This window comes from Homo sapiens, chromosome 7, assembly GCF_000001405.40.
Source record: "Homo sapiens chromosome 7, GRCh38.p14 Primary Assembly".
Lineage (NCBI taxonomy): Eukaryota > Metazoa > Chordata > Mammalia > Primates > Hominidae > Homo > Homo sapiens.
The window spans coordinates 37,069,082-37,090,668 of record NC_000007.14 but is presented as its reverse complement, the minus strand read 5'-3'; the positions used below and the strand labels follow the sequence as shown (position 1 = coordinate 37,090,668).

At 39.8% G+C, this 21,587-nt stretch overlaps 1 protein-coding gene across 14 annotated transcripts in view, besides 2 other annotated features; it reads left to right on the top strand.

The window, feature by feature from the left end:
* The window catches only part of ELMO1 (engulfment and cell motility 1), a 596,421-nt gene that overhangs the window by 358,658 nt on the left and 216,176 nt on the right, over window positions 1-21,587 (top strand). The gene's annotated exons all lie outside the window — the stretch shown is intronic.
* Window positions 12,097-12,421: an origin of replication, noted in NCBI's record as "hors8 amplicon; detected by quantitative PCR of lambda exonuclease-treated nascent strands; allows replication of a plasmid". NCBI's record gives the evidence for it as "EXISTENCE:genetic transformation evidence [ECO:0005027][PMID:16823771]" and "EXISTENCE:nuclease protection assay evidence [ECO:0001106][PMID:16823771]".
* Window positions 12,210-12,398: a protein binding site, noted in NCBI's record as "186 bp probe similar to core monkey ors8 sequence". NCBI's record gives its function as "recruits topoisomerase (DNA) II beta" and the evidence as "EXISTENCE:protein binding evidence [ECO:0000024][PMID:19638425]".

Genomic DNA, 21,587 nt, shown 5'->3' with positions numbered 1-21,587 from the left:
TTCACAAAGACAAAGAGATATCAGGCAGTCATGGCTGTGTGGATGGTGGGAGGCGGCTGTTGAAAATTCCAGGCAGTGAGAAATGGTAGGCTAGAAGACCTGGAGGTTCAAGGGATTCTAGTTCCATGTAGTTAATGCAGAGGGTTTGAGGGAGGAAGCAAAGGGCAGAGGTGCTAGCAGAAGCAGTTGTCAGATCACAAGTATTTGCCATGCAGAGAGTTTTGACTTTACCTTACAGGCAGTGGAAACCAATAGAAGGATTTTAATAATGAAAAGAAATGTCCCAGTTATGGGAATAACACGCTAGAATTAGATTATATTTTCTGGGTGTGACAGACTTGTGAGCATGATGGTGTACAGGCTCACCCCAGTCCTGGCCTAATAATGCAGCAGTTAGGACAATTTCAGCTACAAGTAGTAGAAATCTCAACTCAAAATGTCCTGCCAAGGACATGTATTGCATAAGTCCAGAGTTGTGTAGATCCTAGAGCTGGTTAGCATACCTGTCCGGTGATGTCATTAGGGACCCAAGTTATTTTCATCTTTCTGTTCTGTGTCTGGTAGCAAGATGATGGCTACCTTCACATAGTCAGAGGAACAAGAGGCCATCTCTTCCGGTGGATCTCTTTTAGGTGTGTAGAAGTGTTTTTGGAAGACTTTCAGCACACTTTCTCTCGTGTTTTCTTGGCTGACACTTTGGCGTGTGACTGTGCCTAGCCCAGCCATGGACAGGGAATGGGACTGTCCAGAGGTTGGATTAGCCATTACCCATTACCCATTAGTATAACATACCTCTCCTGAGTATGTTATATGACCACAGGATGTTAGATATCTAAAGAAAACTGGAGTTATGTTAAGATGGGATAAATAATTACTTGAAACCCTTAATTCTGTCTCTTTACAGTCTTTTCTGCAGTGTCCTTACTGATGCAGAAAACCATAACAAATTGAAGCCAGATTACAGTCCTCTGTCATTTTGTCTTCATTGAGAATTGGGGAAATGCACTAGTATCTTTTTAAATGCAGCAATATCAAAGATTGCAGAAAAATGGAAATTGAGGTTTGATTATAATGCATTTCTTCTTTCATCACTAAGATGCTAGGGCTCCACTGCATTACTGTCCTTTTAGCAAATGGATATTTCCACTTCTTCAATTATGCTTTTGTGTGGGGGTTATTCTCAGGTGTATTTTGAAGAGCAGAATGGACATACATTTGTGATTGAAGCCTTGAAACAGTTTTGCCAAATTCACCTGTTTGACCGTTTATAATTAGATTACAATTTAATACTACTGCTCTGGGTTTTTTTTTAAAAAAAAGCAAGAAAGAAACCTACATTACACATTATGAAAATGTTCACCATTTCCTTACTTTGTCTTTCCATGGCAATATTTATTATAATACACCAGTGGTGCCGAGTGGAGCACCTTGTATAATTCATCACCCAGACACCTCTGCTTTAGCAAGTAAAAATAACACAGATGAGCAACCTGAAGGACTGTTTGGAGTGCAGCAGCAATTAGAATAGACACTTAACTCTGGGACATTGGTGTTTTTGTACCTTGAGAAGTACCATCCGTCACTTTCATTCTTGGGGAATACATTCTGGCTAAAGAAAACTCAAGAAAATTAGCTTTTAACAGTTAAATCTCTTAAGGACCTTTTTTTTTCTCCAAATACGAGCTTGTACTCTTGCTTATGCAAAGTGGAATGCTCTCAGATCTTGATTCTGCCCTGAATTTTCACGTTCTACTCTTACATTCTATTTCAACCTTAAGTTTAAAGTAAAACAAAAACAAATGTTCTAAAGCCTAACTTTGACATTAGGAAGTTGCAGACACTTTTGGTCTAAATTAAAATCATCATAGGAGAGAGCATAAAAGTCATTTGAAGGTGATTGTTTTAAATAATTAAAAAACTAATAGTGGGATTTATAATGGTATTCTCCAAGGCAGGAGAGAACTTCATGTAAAATTCTTGCATTCAGGATCAGAAGCCCTTGTGATAGGCATAGTTGATACGAGGACTTTTGCCATGATGGTTAACCTTCATCTTGCCCCTTACTGTCCCCATCTGTAACATAGGGATATCATCATCAGTCATCATCAGTCATGATCGTCATCATTCTCATCTGAGAATCAGGTGAGGAAATGTTAGTTAAAGTGCTTTGTTAACTGTAAAATGCACTATTTGTGGAAGAAATAAATTAACTTGAATATGCACAAGCTTAGAGATACCAAGATGCATCTTGCAGCAAAGCCAACTGTTTCTGTGCATTTTGTGGATATCCTAAGAATCTGAAGTTCTGTGGTGCTTTGTTTGTGTTTCAGAAAGCAGTACTTGGAGATACTTCTGAAATTGCAGGAAAATGTTCATCCCCATAGGAAGTGGTTACAGAGAGCAACTAAACTTGGCAGTTTAAAAGGAGACTATACTAAGCACATCTCAATTATAAATGGATGAAAATAATATTTATCATAGACTTTTTAAGGACTTATTCCTTTTTACATTATTTCTGAAAAGATATAGCTGGCCCCAATCAGCATCCATTCCTGTTGTCTCTTAGAGGTCATGGCTAAGAGGTGAGCCTGGTAGATTTGCCCAAGCTGGTAATGAGAGATACAGACCTGTTGAAAGGCACAGGCTCCCATTGTCTTCTTAACGCCTTATAGAAACACTTCTGGTTCATCTCAAGCATCGTTTGGGTGACTGTTCTGATTCCTCGCCTCATCTTCACTGTGGGAGGGCATTACAGCTCCCTCAGAACTCCTGTAGCACTTTATCTGTGTCTCTTTGTTATGCTTTCTACTGTTTATTAATACATACCCTTTTCTTTTTCTTTCATTCCTGGCCTCACTTCCCCTAAAAATTGGGGTGGTTTATAGGAAACCTTGAAGATAATAAAAAATAATGATAAATGGTAAAAACCACGGCAAATAAAAAGTAAAATGAAAAAATGGATGATGAAAAGTACATGTTACAAAAGCCTTTGCATTTGCTAGCAGTGGACACTGAATTTGGCTCAAATATTCATTTGTCTCAGGGAAGCAAGAGGAGCTTGAAAATATGAAACAGGTCAGTGCTCCATCTCACATGAATAAGCTCAATGTGAAAACCCAGATGCTAATTTCAATTTAAACCCAATAATGTTAAAATAGTGTTTCATAATATTTAATATATTCATTAAAGATGATGGACTAGGACACACTCTTATCATTAAAAAAAAAAATCTGCCAGAAAGTGACAAGCTAGCATCATTCTTAAAATAAAGATACCAAAACAGCTTTCCCATCAAAAACTGAGACTAAACTGGGATGCTATATGATGCTGATTATTATTCACCATTACTATTTCTCCTTGATCTGGAAAACTTACAAACACATTAGAGGTAGAGTTCATCGATAGAAACAAATATTTTAAACTGTAGGTAATAAGACTTTCTATCCCTGAAGAAGCAAAGGATAAGCTAATGTGGTTTAGAAGAGTAGCTAGATAGTGAATAAACGAAACTTAGTAGATGTTCCATATGTCAGCAATAATTATAAAATGGAAAAAAAAGATTATAACAGTAGCAATGAAAATGTAAACTACTTTGGAATAATCCCAATGGAAAACATCTTGGAAACTTAGGTGAAGAAAACTGTAAGACTTTGCCAAAATATACAATAGACATTTCAAATAAATAGAGAAGCAAAATGTTTTCTTCCTGGTTAGAAAACAATATGCAAAGGTTGCAAGTTCCTCTACATTAGTGGACAGGCTCATATCACATTCCAAAGTATCACTGGGAATTAGGATGGAAACTTCACGGGATGACTCTAGACTTCATTTGAAAGAATAAGGGCATGAGAATTGGTAAGGGAGAATTGATATTTTTTTTTGGCAAGAAAGTTCAAAGATTTCTTTTTTTTTTTTTTTTTTTTTTGGAGACAGGATCTCACTCTGTTGCCCAGGCTGGAGTGCAGTGGTGTGATCTCGGCTCACTGCAACCTCCGCCTCCTGGGTTCAAGCGATTCTCTTGCCTCAGCCTCCCGAGTACCTGGGATTACAGGAATGCACCACCACACTGGGCTAATTTTTGTATTTTTAGTAGAGATGGGTTTTCACCATGCTGGCCAGGCTGGTCTCGAACTCCTGACCTCAAGTGACCCGCCTGACTCAGCCTCCCAAAGTGCTGGGATTACAGGTGTGAGCCACTGCGCCTGGCCAAAATAACTCATTCACCCAGGTTCATCTATAGTTATGCCAACATTTTGCCACATATGTTTTATCATTCACCCTCTTTTTCTCTCCTTCTCTTCACACACACACACACACACACACACACACACACACACAGTCATGTATTGTTACAAAAATGTTTCTTTTAGCCAAAAAAATTGTTTTAAAAAATATAACTTGAAGAAAAATTCAAAATAGAAGTATTTAAAATCAGTTCTAACTCCGGCCTCTTGTGTCTGAAAGAGCAAAAGGTGCTGGAGCCCTGCCTGGCAGGAGGCTTGCCCGGGAGGGCTGTGGAGGAGGAAGGGACTCTGCTGCCACAGAGTGAGGCTCCATCTGGAAGTGGTGTCCAGAGCCTGGCTGAGCACCTCTGCTTGCCCTTAGAGATCTGAGAGAGACGCACTGCCGCCTAATTCTTCCCAAAGCAGGTCAACGGTGTTGCTGTCAGGGACCTTCCTTGGATGAAACTTACATCCACCTTCCCTTCTGGTCTTTTCCAATGCTAGTGGATGTCGTTTTCCTAAAATCCCAGTGGTTATATACATGAGGAAGTTTAAATTCAGGATACAAGCATCTTATAGCAGGAGAAACATCATAAAACAAAATCACAAATATAACAGGATTCCAATCAATGACGGAGGCCATTTGCAGGATGACATCATCACGTCTCATCAGTAAAATGAGTATTAAAGTGACTAGTCTCATTCCAAAGGTGTAAAGTGCAAAAACCATCTTTCCCTAGTTCCAGAGATGCCAGTCTCTTCTAAATCTCAAGCTTGGACCCACGGGTTATTTTTTTTTTCCAAAGCAGTAATCACTGTTCTCAGCATTTCTTGTAGGATCGTGATGTACCAGGCCATACCCTTCAAAGTCCTCATAAGTTGTAAAAGTAGAATATTAGTATGGAAGGCAGCATGAAATTGGAGGGAAAGTATAAGCAGAATGCTAGAAGATTCTAATAGATAGTAAAATAAACTAACCTCACTAAAATAAAGTAAAACAACAGAAATCAGGATGTCAAACTGCACTGAAAAGATGATGAAATGCTAACTGTAAAGTTTTCAAAACCAAAATATACATGAGTGAAACAAACAAATGGAAAAAAAATAAAAAAACAAAACAGAAGCATACCCACAGCTAAAGTCTTTAAAACACTTTTTGCAGACACTGTGGCTTCCTACAGTGTCAGTTTTTCCCTCAGGGAGTCTGCAGTAGTTAGGGGAGCAGCTTGAGGACAGAAAGCTCTAGAATGCTTTTATTTCTCATCCTTAACCTGGAGCCTTTGGTTGTAAAGATTTACCTGGTGGTTGGAATAGATTAGAAGGTGGATGCCAATCAGGTCTCCCAGCCTTGGGCACTTGAACTTCAATCAAAAACCACTTGCTGATTTTGGCTGGGCAGGATGGCTTACACCTGTAATCCAACCACTTTGGGAGGCTGAGGCGGGCAGATTACATGAGGTCAGGAGTTTGAAACCAGCCTGGCCAACATAGTGAAACCCTCGTCTCTACTAAAATACAAAAATTAGCCAGGTATGCTGGTGGGAGCCTGTAATCCCAACTACATGGGAGGCTGAGGCTGGAGAATCGCCTGAACTCGGGAGGCAGAGGTTGGAGTGAGCCAACATCATGCCACTGCATCCCAGCCTGGGCAACAGAGTGAGATTCCATCTCAAAAAAAAAAAAAAAGGAATTTGCTTTTTTAAAAAGAGGGAGACCACTGCCATTTATTGGATGCTTTCTATGTAACAGAGAATTCCCAGAGTCAATAATAAGCACACGTTACCTCTGTTAACCCCTGCAACATCTTCATTTACAAATAAGGAACCTGAGATGAAGGGAGAGGTTAAGTAGACTGAGGTGATGCAGGTATTAGATGGAGTGAATTATTGTGAGATTCTCCTGTGCTGTTTGCCCTTAACTATGGTGCAATGCTATCACCCACTGCTTTCACTTTCTTTGTAAATATCCTGTCTTCCTTACAGACTGTAAGCCCTTTGAGGACTAGACTCTTAGTGAATTCAGCTTCCATCTTAACTTCTAGCACAGTGTTTTACATGTAGTCTGCATTTAATAAGCGTTTGTTGCATGAATAGAGTAGCTTTCTGTTTGCTTCAGGGTCAGTTCCAAAAATATTCTTCAGACATTGCTAAATTTTTAATAAACTTTGCATTTTACCCTGAAACCTCTCAAACAACATTCTTGTTTTCTTCTAAAATAAGTGAGAATGAGTTATACTAAAGGGCTCCTCTTCATCCCTCTCCCTCCCGCTCCTCCTCAGGGTAATTTGGTTGAGAAGGCCCACTGAGTCCAAATTTGAATTAGAAAATATCAACACTACAGTATGTTCCCCCAAGAGGAAAAAAATGATCTATTTTCAATCTTGTGTTTCAGAACACACAGCTGTGTGACTTCCTAATTTATTATATCCCCAACTGCCTCCAGACAGCTCTCAGCTTGCTGCTTTTTTTCTACCCACTCCCGCTCTATGGGAAATGGGTTCGACTTTAACCAGCACAGAGTTCAATCTCTGTTCTAGGCAGGACTCCAGTGAGGACTCCGAGAGGCCAGTAAACAGCACTTTTCCAAAGATGCCTCCTCCTCAGCAGGTGCTCCTATCCACCAGGACTTGATGGGAGCCAGGTCCCTTCAGATGGTGGCTGTAGGAAGCCAGGCTATCAGGGGCAGCTCCAGCTGGCAGGTCTTCTGGCTGCCTGTCTCTCTGGAGTGAGCTCGCTTTCTTCCTCCCAGAGAGGGCTTTCTGGCCTGTCTGCAGGGAGCAGGACACAGTTTTAGATCCCAGCAAACAAACCCAATGTGGCTTCCCTTAATTTGGCTTCCCAAGGGTTTTGGCCGCAAGAACAGATTGCAGCTGTGGCCTGAGCATCTTTAGAAGTGTGAATCACATTTTTTTTCCCTGAAGAAGCTATTTTGAGCTTTATAATTACATATTTCCATGTTTTTTTTTATAGAGTGAGTAAGGAGAATGACTTGCATTTTTTTAAATGGAAATCTGCTGGTTTCTTTGCTCTTCTGTCTTGTATAACTTAGTCCAGTGATTCCTGACTTGGCTGTGTATCAGATTCACTTTGGGGAGCTTCTGTGAAATGCAAATTCCTGCAGGGGAATCCAGAAATCAGCAAGCTTAATAGACTCTGCAGTTGATTCCTAGGCAGCCCGATGGCCCCCTCCCAAGTTTGGACCTACCCTTCCCTGGGAATTCAGATCATGGCTAAGTGGATATTACTCTGGGGTGGCAAGAGCCACTCACAGTGCCTAAGAGAGATTAAGCATTAGAAGACCTGGATTCTAGTTCTGGCTCCACTACCAAGCAGCTCTAGACAAGTGTCTCCTGTATGGTCCTCATGTTCCTAGGCGGGGAAATGCTGGGATTGTCCAGGTGGCCCCCAGCTCTAAAGCTACTGTGGTACTCCTTGTTATGTAACCAATATGCTGACTGTAACCACTACATTAGTTATACTTGAACTTTGTTGTCACCTGTTCTTGAGTGACATATGTATAACCTGAACTGACTATTCCATTTTGTACAAGAGAATTATGGAAATGCCCACAGGCCTTGTTATAAAGGGCTCCTGGGGAATAGGCAACCTCAAAGCACGGACCAAAGGACTTACCTCTCCCATGCAGGTGTGACGACTCTCAGCTTTTGGACAGAGAATTAAGCAAAATGGGCTTTTCTGTTTGTTTGTTTGTTTGTTTGTTTGTTTGAGACAGGGTCACCCGGGCTGGAGTGCAGTAACGCAGTCACAGCTCACTGCAACCTCTGCTTCCCAGGTTCAAGTGATCCTCCCATATCAGCCTCCCAAGTAGCTGGAACCACAGACACATGCCACTACACACAATTTTTACACAGACACACTACTCTACACTATACCAATTTTTTTTTGGTAGAGACAGGGTTTCACCATGTTACCCAGGCTGGTCTGGAACTCCTGGACTCGAGCAAGCTGACTGCTCTGGCCTCCCAAAGTGCTGGGATTACAGACATGAGCCACCGTACCTGGCTGTGAAATATGCTTTTCTCATTCTGCATGTTTTTCTCCTTTGAAATATCAACCATCAGAATCTTTTGAGAGGAGTTAAACATTAATTTTGCCAGAACAGATATAGGAAGTGGTAAAAAAAAAAATCCCTCTGTTTTCATCATTTTCTGCCCAACTGATTTCTCCCCCTCTATTTTCCCATGCAAGCATCCTCTGGGCTAGGTTTGGTGGCCACTCCATTATAATGCCAGTGCAGCTTTTGGGGACTGTGGCAGGTGCCTGGCCCATCTTTACGTGGAAACAGCGGTATCTAAATAAACCTGACACATGGAGGAAGAAATGAACCTAAATGCAAATGCTATTAACATTTCTGCAAGTCATACCTATCCCCAAGAAGCATAGCTCTCATGTTTCTTAGTCTTTTATTGGCAATTTAATTGTTTGAGAAATTGCTTTTTACCAGAGTCCGTAAGAATCCTACCAAAATGCACTGACTTATTTTCCCATCGACTTGCCCGGGTGAGAACTCAGCTTGCTGCTTTTCTGTGTCATTACCATCATCAGAAGAAACTTCAAATGTAAGGCCTCGCAGGGTTCATTGTTTTCATTATTTTTTTTGTTTTTGTTTTAGATCAAGAGTTTACCTTAATGCACATCGTATTAGTCCATTTTCATGCTGCTGATACCTGTGACTGGGTAATTTATAAAGAAAAAGAGGTTTAATGGACTCACAGTTCCACCTGTCTGGGGAGACCTCATAATCATGGCCCAAGGCAAAAGGCACGTCTTACCTGGCAGCAGGCCAAGAGGGAATGAGAGCCAAGTGAAAGGGGTTTCCCCTTGTCTCGTGAGACTTGCTTATTCACTACCATGAAAACAGTAAGGAGGAAATTGCTCCCGTGTTTCAGTTATCTCCCACTGGGTCCCTCCCACAACACATGGGAATGATGGAAGCTAAAATTCAAGATGAGATTTGGGTGGGGACACAGCCAAACCATATCACATATACTGTACCAAATTCTCCTAGGTGATTTTATTATAAAAATGAACTAATACGCATATTACTTTATATCCTGATTCTTTTCACTTAATGTGTTAGAGACATCTTTCAGAAAATATGTTCATTCAAAAGTTCATTCAAACTTTTAATAATTGCATAGTATTCCATTTTATAGATAGGGTCATTTTGTGGATATGGATATAAATAGTATTTCATTTTATGAAAGTATGTCTCCCATTGACAGGTATTTATATTGTTTGCAATTTTTTTTCTTATAAAGAGCACCGGGATGAACATTTGCTCAGTAAATACACTTAACATGTTAGCACTGGGGCTATAGCAGTGAAATAATCTGACTACTATCCATTCCCTTAAAGAGCATATATTTTAGTTGGAGAAAGGTAATAAACAGATAAAGAAGTATGTCATATGGTGAAAAATGGAGAAAAATGCAGCAGAAAAGGGAGGACTCATGAGATTGCCTCATTGAGATGGTGACATTGATCACAATTATGAATGAAGTGAGGAAGTGGGCCAAGATAGTGTCTGGAAAAGAGTTTTCCAGAAAGAGGGAACAGCCAATGTGAAGACCCTGAGGCAGGAGTGTTTGCCATGAGAAAGTAAGAACACAGAGGCCAGTGGGGCTGAAGCAGAGAGAACCAGGGAAAGATAGTATAAGAGTAGGCTAGAGGGTGGCCGGGCACAGTGACTCACACCTGCAATTCCAGCACTTTGAGAAGGTGAGGAAGGTGGATCACGAGGTCAGAAGTTCAAGACCAGCCTGGCCAACATAGTGAAATCCTGTCTCTACTAAAAATACAAAAAAAAAAAAAAAAAAAAAAAATTAGGCGTGGTGGCAGGCGCCTGTAGTCCCAGCTACTTGGGATGCTGAGGTGGGAGAATCGCTTGAATTCGGGAGGCAGAGATGGCAGTGAACTGAGATCACGCCGCTGCACTCCAGCCTGGGTGACACAGCAAGACTCTGTCTCAAAAAAAAAAAAAAAAAAAGTGGGATGGTGGGTGAGAGATTCTTCAGGTGCTTGTAGGCCCTTGTAACCAATTTGGCTTTTACTCTACGTAGAAAGAGAAGCCGTTGGGCAGATTGAGCATACATGTGACATTATGTGATTTATAATTTCAAAGAATTGTGTGGCTCATGTATTGAGATTAGACTGTGGGAGAGCAAGTTAATATACCCCACTACAATAAGCAAGTTGAGAGATGATGGTGTCCTGAACCAGAGTGTTAGCAGTGGCAGTACTGTAAAAAGGTTGGATTCAGGATTTATGTTAAAGGTAGAGCCAACAGGATTTTCCTGGATGATTGGATGTGGAGTGGGGAATAAGAGGAGTGAAGGATGGATGACTAGAAGCAGGGAGTCATCACTGAAATTGATGGAGGGGCATAGAAGATTAGGAGTTCTGTTTTGTTTGTGTTAATTTTGAGATGCTGTTTAGACATCTAATTGGAGATGTTGATTTCATAGTTGGATATATGTGTCTGGAGTTTAGGGGATGATTTTGAATTGGAGATGTAACTTTGAGCATCAACAGTATATAGATAATAGTTAAAGCTATGAGACTGAATGAAAGCATTGAAGAGGCCCTAGAATTGATGCCTAGAGCACCCCAAGATTTAGAGGCTGGGGAGAAGAGGAGGCTGGGGAAGGAGTTGAGTGGGGCTCCCAGGGGCATAGGAAGAAACTCAAGAGAAAGTTCAATTCAAGGTGAAGGAGAGATTGCAGTGTCATATGCTGCAGGTGATGGGGTTAAATGAGGACTGAGAACTGACCATTGATTTTTAGTAAGGTGGAGGTCAGGGTGACCTGAACAAGAGTGATTTCACCGGAGTGGGGGAGGAGAGAGCCCAACTAGATGGGTTAAGAGCAAGTAGGGGCAGAGGCAATGGGACTATTAGTAGAGATGCATGCTGCTCAGTGTGGGCCACTGATGGCTGTGAGGAGATAGTGAAGAGGAGGCTTTTAGAAACATTTACACCATTTGACATCACCACAGCCTTCAAGCCCATGATCCTTTTTCTAGTGGTTAATTTTCATTATACTTTTTCAAGAGTGTCTGTTTCTAATCAACAAGTTAGACATTGAAAACAAACTGGTTTTCACTGCAGATAGTTTGAGAGGTACTGATACAGATGACCATTTAAAGGGGCTTTGCTTCACAGTGATACAGAAAATAAGGTAGAAGCTGAAAGGGAAGTTATAGTCAAGTGAGATTTTTTTATTGGTGGGAGAAATAACAGCATGTTTATATGCTCCTGGGGAAGATTTGGTAGAGAGGGAAAATTTGATGAAGACGGAGACCTATATCTCTGTCTTTACACACATCTTAATAATTTCCTTAGCCAAGTGTCTACCAACAGATTCTGAATTAGATAGTGCACACTTTTAGTATTTTTAAATTCACAGGTAATATATGCTCAATGCTAAAAAATTTAAACATGTAGAGAAGCAGAACCAATAATTATCTATTATTCTGCCACCAAGAGGGATTCATATATACCTTTGTACGCTTTTTGGGCATTAATACAGGATTAAAGCGTGTATTTTTAAATATTCTATTATTTAATATATTGTAACTATCCACGATAACAAAAATATAATTGTATCATTATTTAATGTCTGCTTAGTGTTTCATTGTGTGTATCTACTATAATTAATTTGACTAGACTCATTGCAGGATATTTAAGGATATTTCCTTTTTTCATGAGAAATAGCACTGTGATGAACATCCTTGTAATTCCATGTGATTATTTCCTGTAAATTAATTCTTAGAAGAAGTTCTATGTCAAATGGTTTGAAATCTTAAAGCTTTTTATTTATTTACCAAATTAACCCCTAGAAAGGCTGAAGCATTTGCACTTCACAGAGCAGTCATGTAGATTCAGATAAAAGGCAGTTTTCAAACTAATTAAAAAATTGGAGGTAGAGGAAGAAACCTAACTGAGATGGTGGGATTTGGGGTGATCATATATAGGGAGATATTAAGATAGATGGATCATTAATAGATATAGACATGAGAGAGACTTACAGATGTAGGCATGGTAGATTTATGCATATTTATGATAGAGATTTATAGGTAGAGATTTATAGATAGGGATTTATGGATGCTCTTTCTTCATCTACACTATAGCCATATTATTACTTTCATGTGCCCTAGGTACTTTTGCCTTTGTGGGTCCCTTCCTTCATAAAACAGTATTAAAACTTAACATTTTATGACTGCATTATTATAAAGATGAATATAATCGTGCCCGGATTCATTATTATATATTCATTATTCTATTTACGTTTTCCTTCTGATTTAAATTGAACTTAAAATATTTTCAGGGGCCTCTGAAAGCATCATGGGCCTGCAGCACTGTGGCTGCTGGGCCTCCTGACTAGGTCATCCTGATTCTGCTTCTCTGTACTCTTTATATTTTTGATAATGAATAGACATTACTTATGACATAAAAAATAAAAGAGGAAAATATCAAACTAAATGTATAAATATTCATGCTTCCTATGTAGGTTTCTTTCCCTTTACTCACGAAGGCAGGAGGTACATTCCCCTTTGCTCGTATGCTCTGGATCATTTCTCCCTAACAGTGGGTTAGACTGGAAGGCCTGGCTCCTGCAATCAAGAAAAAGTGAAAATGCACTAGCTCCTCTCTCCACCTGTGGCTCCTCCTGACCCCTGGGGTCACCATTTACCCCGTTGTTGGCGCCTGAAACTTGCTGCCATCTTCAGTCACTGCCTCACATCCACAGTCAGCCAGCGGCCACGTCCTGTTAATTCAGTACCCATATTTCTTAAATCTCCTGATTTTTCTGCATATGTACTCCCATCACTCTAATTCAGATCACCATTGTATGGCCTGCATACTTGCCTCCTCCAATCCGCCCCTGCTTCATCCTGCAACTGTGTATTTTTTCCTACAGCATTGTCAGACCTGTCTAAAACTCCCATTGGGCCATGATTCCTCTTAGGCTGAAGCCCAAACTTCTTTGCAACACCACCACGCCCCAGAAATCTCAGTGTGACGTGCTTCCTCTTCACCCTGGGCCATGGCCCACACTGGGTCCTCATTCCAGAATGTCCTTTCCATCCCTGTGCTTGTACAATTCAGACCCACTTCTCAGCCTCTCTCCCTGAGGGCACAGCTCCCTGAGACCTGGGCTTAATCCTGCCCTTCGCCCTGTTGAGGCACATCTCACACTGTATTGAATTGCATATTTGCATATCTTTCTTTGCAGCTTTTCTCCCGCCAGCTCCATCTGCCCCATAATTAGTATCAGTTCCATCCCAATTCTAGTATAAGATTGTCCTTTAATCCAACATGTATGTAAAGCTTGGAGAGGCTGCACGGGTTGGAGCGGGGCAGCTAGTGGCTACCATACTGAACTGGACAGAAGACAGTTTTGTTAGAAAGTTAAATTCTTTGTTGTCGGGGGCATAATTGGGACAGTAAATAATCCGTAAAATCTCCCAGTCAGCACAGGCAGTTACATGAGATAGTAGAAGGCAATGGGAAGGCTCTTAGCCGCAGTGCCAGATACACAGCCTGTGCTCAGCAGATATTGCCTGTCACTATCATCCTGATGGAGGCAGCATTGGGAACCTGGCTGGCCAGAAGTGGGGGCTGTCTGTGGTGGAGCGTTGTGCACCCTCAGGATGATACCATCACTGGCAGTCGGAAGGAGGTGAGAAACCAGCAGATGGGTCCTGCTGCTGCTAGATACTCACCAATGGAACTCAAGATCTTTGTTCTCTTTATGTGGGATGGAGCCCCAGATTCTTTGCTGCCCCTGACCTTGAGGAAAAGTTAGAATCATAGCCAATAACACTTACTGAACTATTTTGGCTAACTAGAGGTTTGGGTTTTCAGGTGATAAGGAAACAAATTTAAACAGCCAAACAAGATCAATCTAACCTTCTGGTTGTTGACTGTGTTGTTTTTCCCTTAAAACACTGGTCATCGTGGCTGGTGAGATGGGCAAAAGAGACCGTTTCCTGAACCTTTATTCTTACTTCATCGGATCCCATGCCACATGGTTGTCTGTATTTATGCTTAAGATAATACTATAATTTCTGTCATTTTTGAGTATTCCTCTTTAGTCATGACCTTGAGTCCTTTGATTTCTAGCTTTGAGTAGTTCATGAGATGTGGTTGTGGAGGCTTTTTATCTCAAGAAATAGGAAAAAAAATAACTGGAAGGAGGCAGTCAAATGGATTACTCTCTGGAAGTAATTGAGAATAGTGACTCATCAGGGGGTAACGAAATGACTTTAGTGAATTTTGGATAGTGGTTTCAAAATGGAATAAAATAATTTTTAGAGTGCCTCACAAGTAGCAAAGGGAAGTGTTTCATTAAATCAGTTTTACATTCATCTGCCTGTGTACTGGGATGTAGTACAAATGTGTTTCATACTGTAGGTCACAGCTGAAAGAGTTTAAAAAGTTCCCCTCAACCCCCACCCCATTATAAGGCAATTCACCTTGAAATTACTTACTCAACAGAGCATTGTCTGTTTTCACATTAATGAATGCATTACACATTTTTTTATTCAAATTCATTATTTTGTGTCAGGGTTTATCTTAAGGGATGAGTTGCCTGGCACACAGTGATACAAGGAAGGGTGATCATCATCTGTCACCATGCAATTCCTGCTCACAGCCTTTCTGTTGGTGCCACTTCTGGCTCTTTGTGATGTCCCCATATCCCTAGGCTTCTCCCCCTCCTAGAAGGGCTTCTTGATAGATTAGAAAATAAGAATGAGTGACATTTCCTATGTGCATATAAGAAGGAGCCACAAGACATGTCTTTTAAATAAAAGGACAGTGTCCATCCTTTTAGCTGCCGAATAGAACCTTGGTCTCATCCTCCTGGAGCTAGGCCTTAAAACAGCTTCTGTGTTTCTCATTTGTCTCAGTGTTTTGCCAGGGTTTTATCGGAAAGATAATGTTCCGTTTAAAATATTTCCTAATGAGGCCGGGCGTGGTGGCTCACGCCTGTAACCCTAGCACTTTGGGAGGCTGAGGCGGGTGGATCACGAGGTCAGGAGATCGAGACCATCCTGGCTAACATGGTGAAACCCCGTCTCTACTAAAAATACAAAAAAAAAAAAAAATTAGCCGGGTGTGGTGGCGGGCGCCTGTAGTCCCAGCTACTTGGGAGGCTGAGGCAGGAGAATGGCATGAACCCGGGAGGCAGAGCTTGCAGTGAGCAGAGATCGTGCCACTGCACTCCAGCCTGGGCAACAGAGCGAGACTCCATCTCAAAAAAAAAAAAAAAAATTCCAAATGAAAGCCATCAACTACTATCTACGTAAAAGCCATGTATCTAAAACCCAGGCAGAAATGGCTGGCTAAGTGTTACACACCTTTTATTGCTCGTGGACATCTTCACACACAATCCAGGGAATGGGAATAAGTGCGGCATGAGAAAGCAATTTCAGGGTTCCGACTAATAAGAAAATGATTGAGTAGTCATTCACCCCCATTCAAGCCAAGGTCTGTGGAAAAACCCTTACTGCTTTGGGCCTTGAAAGTCTCTGTAATCTGGCTTCTGCCTGTTTTTTGCCTTAAATTTCTAATGCAATTCAAAAGAAAACTAACAACCAAAATCAGCTTGCATTTTGCCCATTTGCAACTCCCTAAACAAGCTAAACCTCCTCACTTCTGACTCTGCTCTTTGGTACGTTCTCTCCCTAGCTGCTTCTGGTCTAATATTAACCCCACATTCATAGCCGGGTTATTGCCACCACCACACAAAACTCTGGGGGCCCTGGATCCAGGCTAAGTATAATTCAGTGCACTTCTGTGGGGCACCTACTGTGTTGCAAGCATGATACTCAGATAGGACAGCAAAGACAAAAGGATTCTTGTCTTCATCCCCTCGCCCTCCTGGGAACCCAGGCCACAGAGTTATTAGGCAAATACCTACTGGACATCAGCTATGTCTCAGATCTCATTCCAGGCACTGGGAGTTTATTGATCTGGTGAAGATAACCGAAAAGTGAATCATGAGTTATTTCTTATTTGTTTATATTCTAACACCATTTTAAGCTACTGAGCAAAGAGTAGTTCTCTAGAAGCAAAACAGAATATTAATAAAGCTGTTTTACCCACAGTAATCCTTTGATTTCTACCACTGTTTAGACAAGTGACATAGCATAGATTTTATTTCCAAATATTTTCTATTATATTTAAATTATACTATATATTTATACCCTATATATGAATTTATGCATATATAAAATATATAAATGTATTTACATATATACATAAATATATAGTATTATATTGATATATAAATATATTTATATACTTAAATATATATTTTTGCATACTATATATTTATACTATATATTTAATTATACTGTATTATAACTTTTGAGAAGATCAGTATTTTCATTTTTTAAAATAGTCACATAATTGTTCTTGAATTCTTTTCTGCCATTTCCCTACTTCTCCTAAAATATCACACAAAATCTGGACTGTATAAGATACATAGAAATATATTTTAATATTATAAAATCAATACATTAAAAATTTTAGTGGTCAGGTGCAGAGTGGCTCTTTCCTGTAATCCCAATACTTTGGGAGGCCAAAGCCGGAGGGTCTCTTGAGGCCAGAAGACAAGTCTGGGCAACACAGCAAAACCCTGTCTCTACAAAAAATAAAATAAAATTACCTGGACATGGTGGTATGTGTCTGTAGTCCTAGCACAGACCCAGGAGTTCAAGCATCACAGTGAACTATGATATGTTCGTGAAGGATACAGTGCCACCGTACTCTAGCCTGGACGACAGAGCAAGACCCTGTCTCTAAGGAAAAAAAAAAACATGCACACACACACACACACACACATACAAAAACAACAATAAAAACCAGATGCTTGTCCGCTGTTGAAAATGTAGAAGTTTTAGAAAATGGGAATGATATTTAAAGGAGAAAATTAAAGCCCCTTACTATTCTGCCACCATGAGATAACAGTGTAGGCATAGTGATGTGTTCCCTTTTAGCCTCTACTGTATCTATATTTGTATCCTCACATTATCTGCATAAATACATGTGTTTGCATATACATGTATATATAAAAAATGTGGGATCATACTGCCTCTGAAGTTCAGAATCCTGGTTTCTTTTTTCCTTCCCTCAAAATTATCATCAGTAACTTCTTTCTATATCTTAAAATATCCTTCAAGGGCATATTCTTTAATGACTAGATAGCATTATGTTCAAAAGATGTCTATTTCTATATATTGAGATTGTTTCCAAATTTTTACTGTAAAAAACACCTCTGGCTATATCTACCACCAGAATTAACGCAAAGGATTCATTTTTAATGTTTTACTTAGAAGAAATTCCTAGAAGTGAAATTGCTAGTCAGTGGGCATGTATGTATAGTTACTTAGATAGATGTTGCCTAACTGCCCTCTGAAAAGTTTCCTTTGATGTTTCTGGCCCCTTAGCAGGGATATGATAAAATTATAGCAACAATAAAAGAAAACCAAGAAACCTCTTTGTCAACTTGAGAGTTCAAGGTATTGTCTCATTCTTGGCTCTTTTATGAGAAAGGTTAAACATTTTTTGACATATGTATTGTCCATGTGTATTTTGTGTGTCCAAATGGTTGGTTCTGTTGTAATTGCATGTGAGTGGTACTCGCCTTATGTTTTATGAAGAAGAGAAACCAGTGGCACCCCCTCACTGCAGGCTCCTCCTAGTTAATGGTGACGCATGTTATTGATGTAGGAACTGAAGGTTGACTCTTTAAGTAATAAGGGGAATGGATGATTCCTCATTTGGGATGTGTATGGAGTGGTGGTTTTACTTACGTAGTTTACTGCTTTAAAGATATTAAAATAGAGGAGCTATATTGATTTGCATTCCGAGTTCATAAGAAGTTAAGTATTGAGGGACCTATATTGTGTTTTCATGCTGCTGATAAAGACATCCCCAAGACTGGGCAATTTACAAAAGAAAGAGGTTTAATGAACTTACAGTTCCACATGGCAGTCACATCGTACGTGGATGGCAGCAGGCAAAGAGAGCTTGTGCAGGGAACTCCCATTTTTAAAACCAGCCGATCTTATGAGACTTATTTACTATAATGAGAACAGCACAGGAAAGACCCACCCCCATGATTCAATTACTTCCCACCAGGCTCCTCCTACAACACGCGGGAATTGTGGGGGTTACAAATCAAGATGAGATTTTGGTGAGAATACAGCCAAACCATATCAGGGCCCAAGCCCAATTTTCAGAGGAGACCCTTTTTTGGTGCTTCATGTACTTTAACACTCTTTGTTTTTTGAATTGCCGAAAGCCTATAGAGTAGTTGGATTAGTAGCTAATTTTTGTAAGTTTTAGATTATTTTTGAGTTAATACTTTTAGATTTAAAATAAAGAATGCTCCTCCTCATTCTCAAGAAGAACTTGTTTACTCTTGAGCTTCAGCTCCCAGCTGAAGAGCTCTCCTGAACCTTTTTAATTGAGTATACTAATATTATATATATTGTGTGCGTGTGTGCACGTGTGCGTGTGTGTGTATTTAAAAGCTAGATAATATTCCAAAGAAATGTCTGACCTAAGATAATGTTTGAAATGGGAGCATTAACAAAGTTAGTTTTGCCTGAAGGGAATTTTTCTTATTTTAATCTACTAGCAAAATTAAAGAGCCTGGGGGATGATATTTTTAGCTATTGTTAGTAAATAAAATATGGTAGCATGAGTTTTGTTTTTTTCAAGTTACACCAAATAAAGGAAGATGTTATCAAATTGTATTGTCTTCCTTACTTGTTGAATGTACTTAAATTTTTTAGCTTAATTAAACCTGGGGAGTGGGGAAGGTAGAGACTATGTGTACACCACCATTGAGCTCTCTCTGGAGTTGAATTCTCCTTAGGAGATTTGAATCAAAACACCCAAAATTGATTCTGTTCTTGAACTATAGTCCCACTCAAGACTCTGAAACACAGTTATGAAATCTCTTGCTAGTTTCTTTTTGAGAGCGTGAGGCCAGCTTTGGGAAAAATACATTTTTTTTCCTAAGATTGTGGGCATGGTGAAGAATATGAGGTTTGAATGTGTAGGGGTGGAGGTGGAAGGGATGAATAATTTATTCTCTTTCTTTTCTACCTACTATTCATGTAAATGGAACCCTACAATGTGTAGCTTTTTGTGTCTCTCTTCTTCCACTCAATATACTGGTTTAATGCCAGTTGAGATTCAGTTTTCTTTGTTTCTTTTGTTCTCTTTTTAAGTCAGAGTCATCGAGGGATAATTTATACAGTAAAACTTACCCTTTTTTGATGTACAGTTCTTTAGTTTTGGTAATTGTATACCATCATGTAACCACCATCAAAATCAGGATACAGGCTATTTTCAGTTCTCCTAAAAGTTTTCTCTGGACAATGAGTTTTGCCTCTTTGACTAGTAGTTCTCAGTTGGTGGAGGATAATCGGTGGGGGAATGTGGTGAAAGTAAATCTAGGCTCATTGACATAAATCTCCACTAATCTCATTGAGTTAACTGTTAGGATGATGCACTGATTCCTTGATGAGAGTATGCCTCCCCTTTGTGAATTGTATATAAAGGAATGTCCCAGAAGAGAAAATACATCACAGATGCTCCCCTTAACTGGATTACCCTACTTAGTTTATTAATCCAGGTGTGGTTAGTTCCACAGGGTGAGCCAGGAGCCCTGCCTGACAACAGAGTAAAGCTGGTACCCATCATTCTGAAATCCATCATGTCATCTTTCACTAGAAGCCAGGAATGGCCAGACCAAACAAGAAAGCCTTGCTCAAGACACGTGGGACCACAGATGAGAACAGGAGGCTGGAAACCCGTGTATTTGCTGATCTTGGTTTCCAATTTACAGCTGTTATCCCAGACTGATACTTAAATATGTGTTTTAAGTATAACACACACACACACAGTTCACAAATTCCAACGGAAATCAAGAAAGGGTGCAATATTTTCAGTGAACTAAATTGATAAATTTTTATGGTCTTAGCCCTCTACTATAGATGAAAAAGAAAGAAAGAATACAAGAGGATTGCATCTTCATATGAATTTTTCCCAGCCTCTCATATTCTCATATCCTCTTCTCGTCTGTTTAATCACACTCCCCAAGATGTGGAAGGCTTGTGAAGAGCCACAGAATGAAGAGACTTAAGCAGCATGGGCTCCTCTGCCATCCAATGGTGCCAGGAACGTAGGGTGATGAGGATGTAAGAGGATGCAGTGGCAGTTTTCCCTCTTTTGCCTCCTTTGATTGCTATCTCCTTACCCCCTAGAGAAATATCTTCTGTGTCTGATTGGATGAGGTGAAGAAAAGAAAATTGCATTTATTTGAAGCTTAAAGTTTAGCCAGATGGGAGCCAGCTTAAGTTTCATTTGAATATAATTTTGTTTTCTCCCCTCGTCACCCTCCTATGTTGAGTTGCCTCTGACAACTGATAAAATTCTCATTTTCAAGCAAATCTAGGATTTAGATATAAATATGCAGAGAGAGCACAGAAATTAGCTCATGTTCTCAAAGTTAAAAAGGGTGAAATTGGAGTAACTTCACATAAGAAAAATTTCAACTTATGCTGGTAAGATGGATCGAAATAGAATATAACAATATTTTAGTTATAAAATTCTTCCAATTCTTAATTTTTAAGTCAGTAGAACATTCTAGCAAAGTTTATTACTAATTCTGAGACCCATTTTCTCATCAACTTTTAGTATGAAATCGGAGATCGGTTCCATTTGAAACATTTCTTCCAAAGATTGAGCTAAAAGTGCTTGTTATGAAATAAATTATAAGTTTGGGGCATGTTATGAGATGTGAGACTTTAGAAATTTTAGCACCTATTAGTCATTCACTTTTCTTTGCTACAGTGAGGCACAATTTGAGAATTTCTCTTCTAGGGAATTTCTTAATTTCATGTTTGCAGCTGCTAGAACTTTTCTGATTTTAGTAACTCTGGTTCTGGATTTTTCCCCTGCCTCATACATGAAGTGGTTGGGAAGTGATGGAGTGGATTTGTTTTGACTTTATCAGATCAAGAATTAATTTACTAATTTGAGTGGTTTTCATCAAGAAACATATTCTTTTCCTTCTAAATAGATCGCTTAGATCTATTTAGAGAGGTCTTAGGACCAGACTTGTAAGGTGTAGATAAAGCACATTTTTTTAATGTATTCCTTTTGTCTCTAGTTAGACTTACTGGGGAAGTGGGGAGGGGCTTACTGGCCAACCCTGGGAGTAAATGGTAACCATTTATTGGAGCTCTTAGTGGTTTAGAATGGGATTGGAGCTGTTCCCACCACTGGGAGGCTCCCAGGGAGCAGCAGCTGCAATCT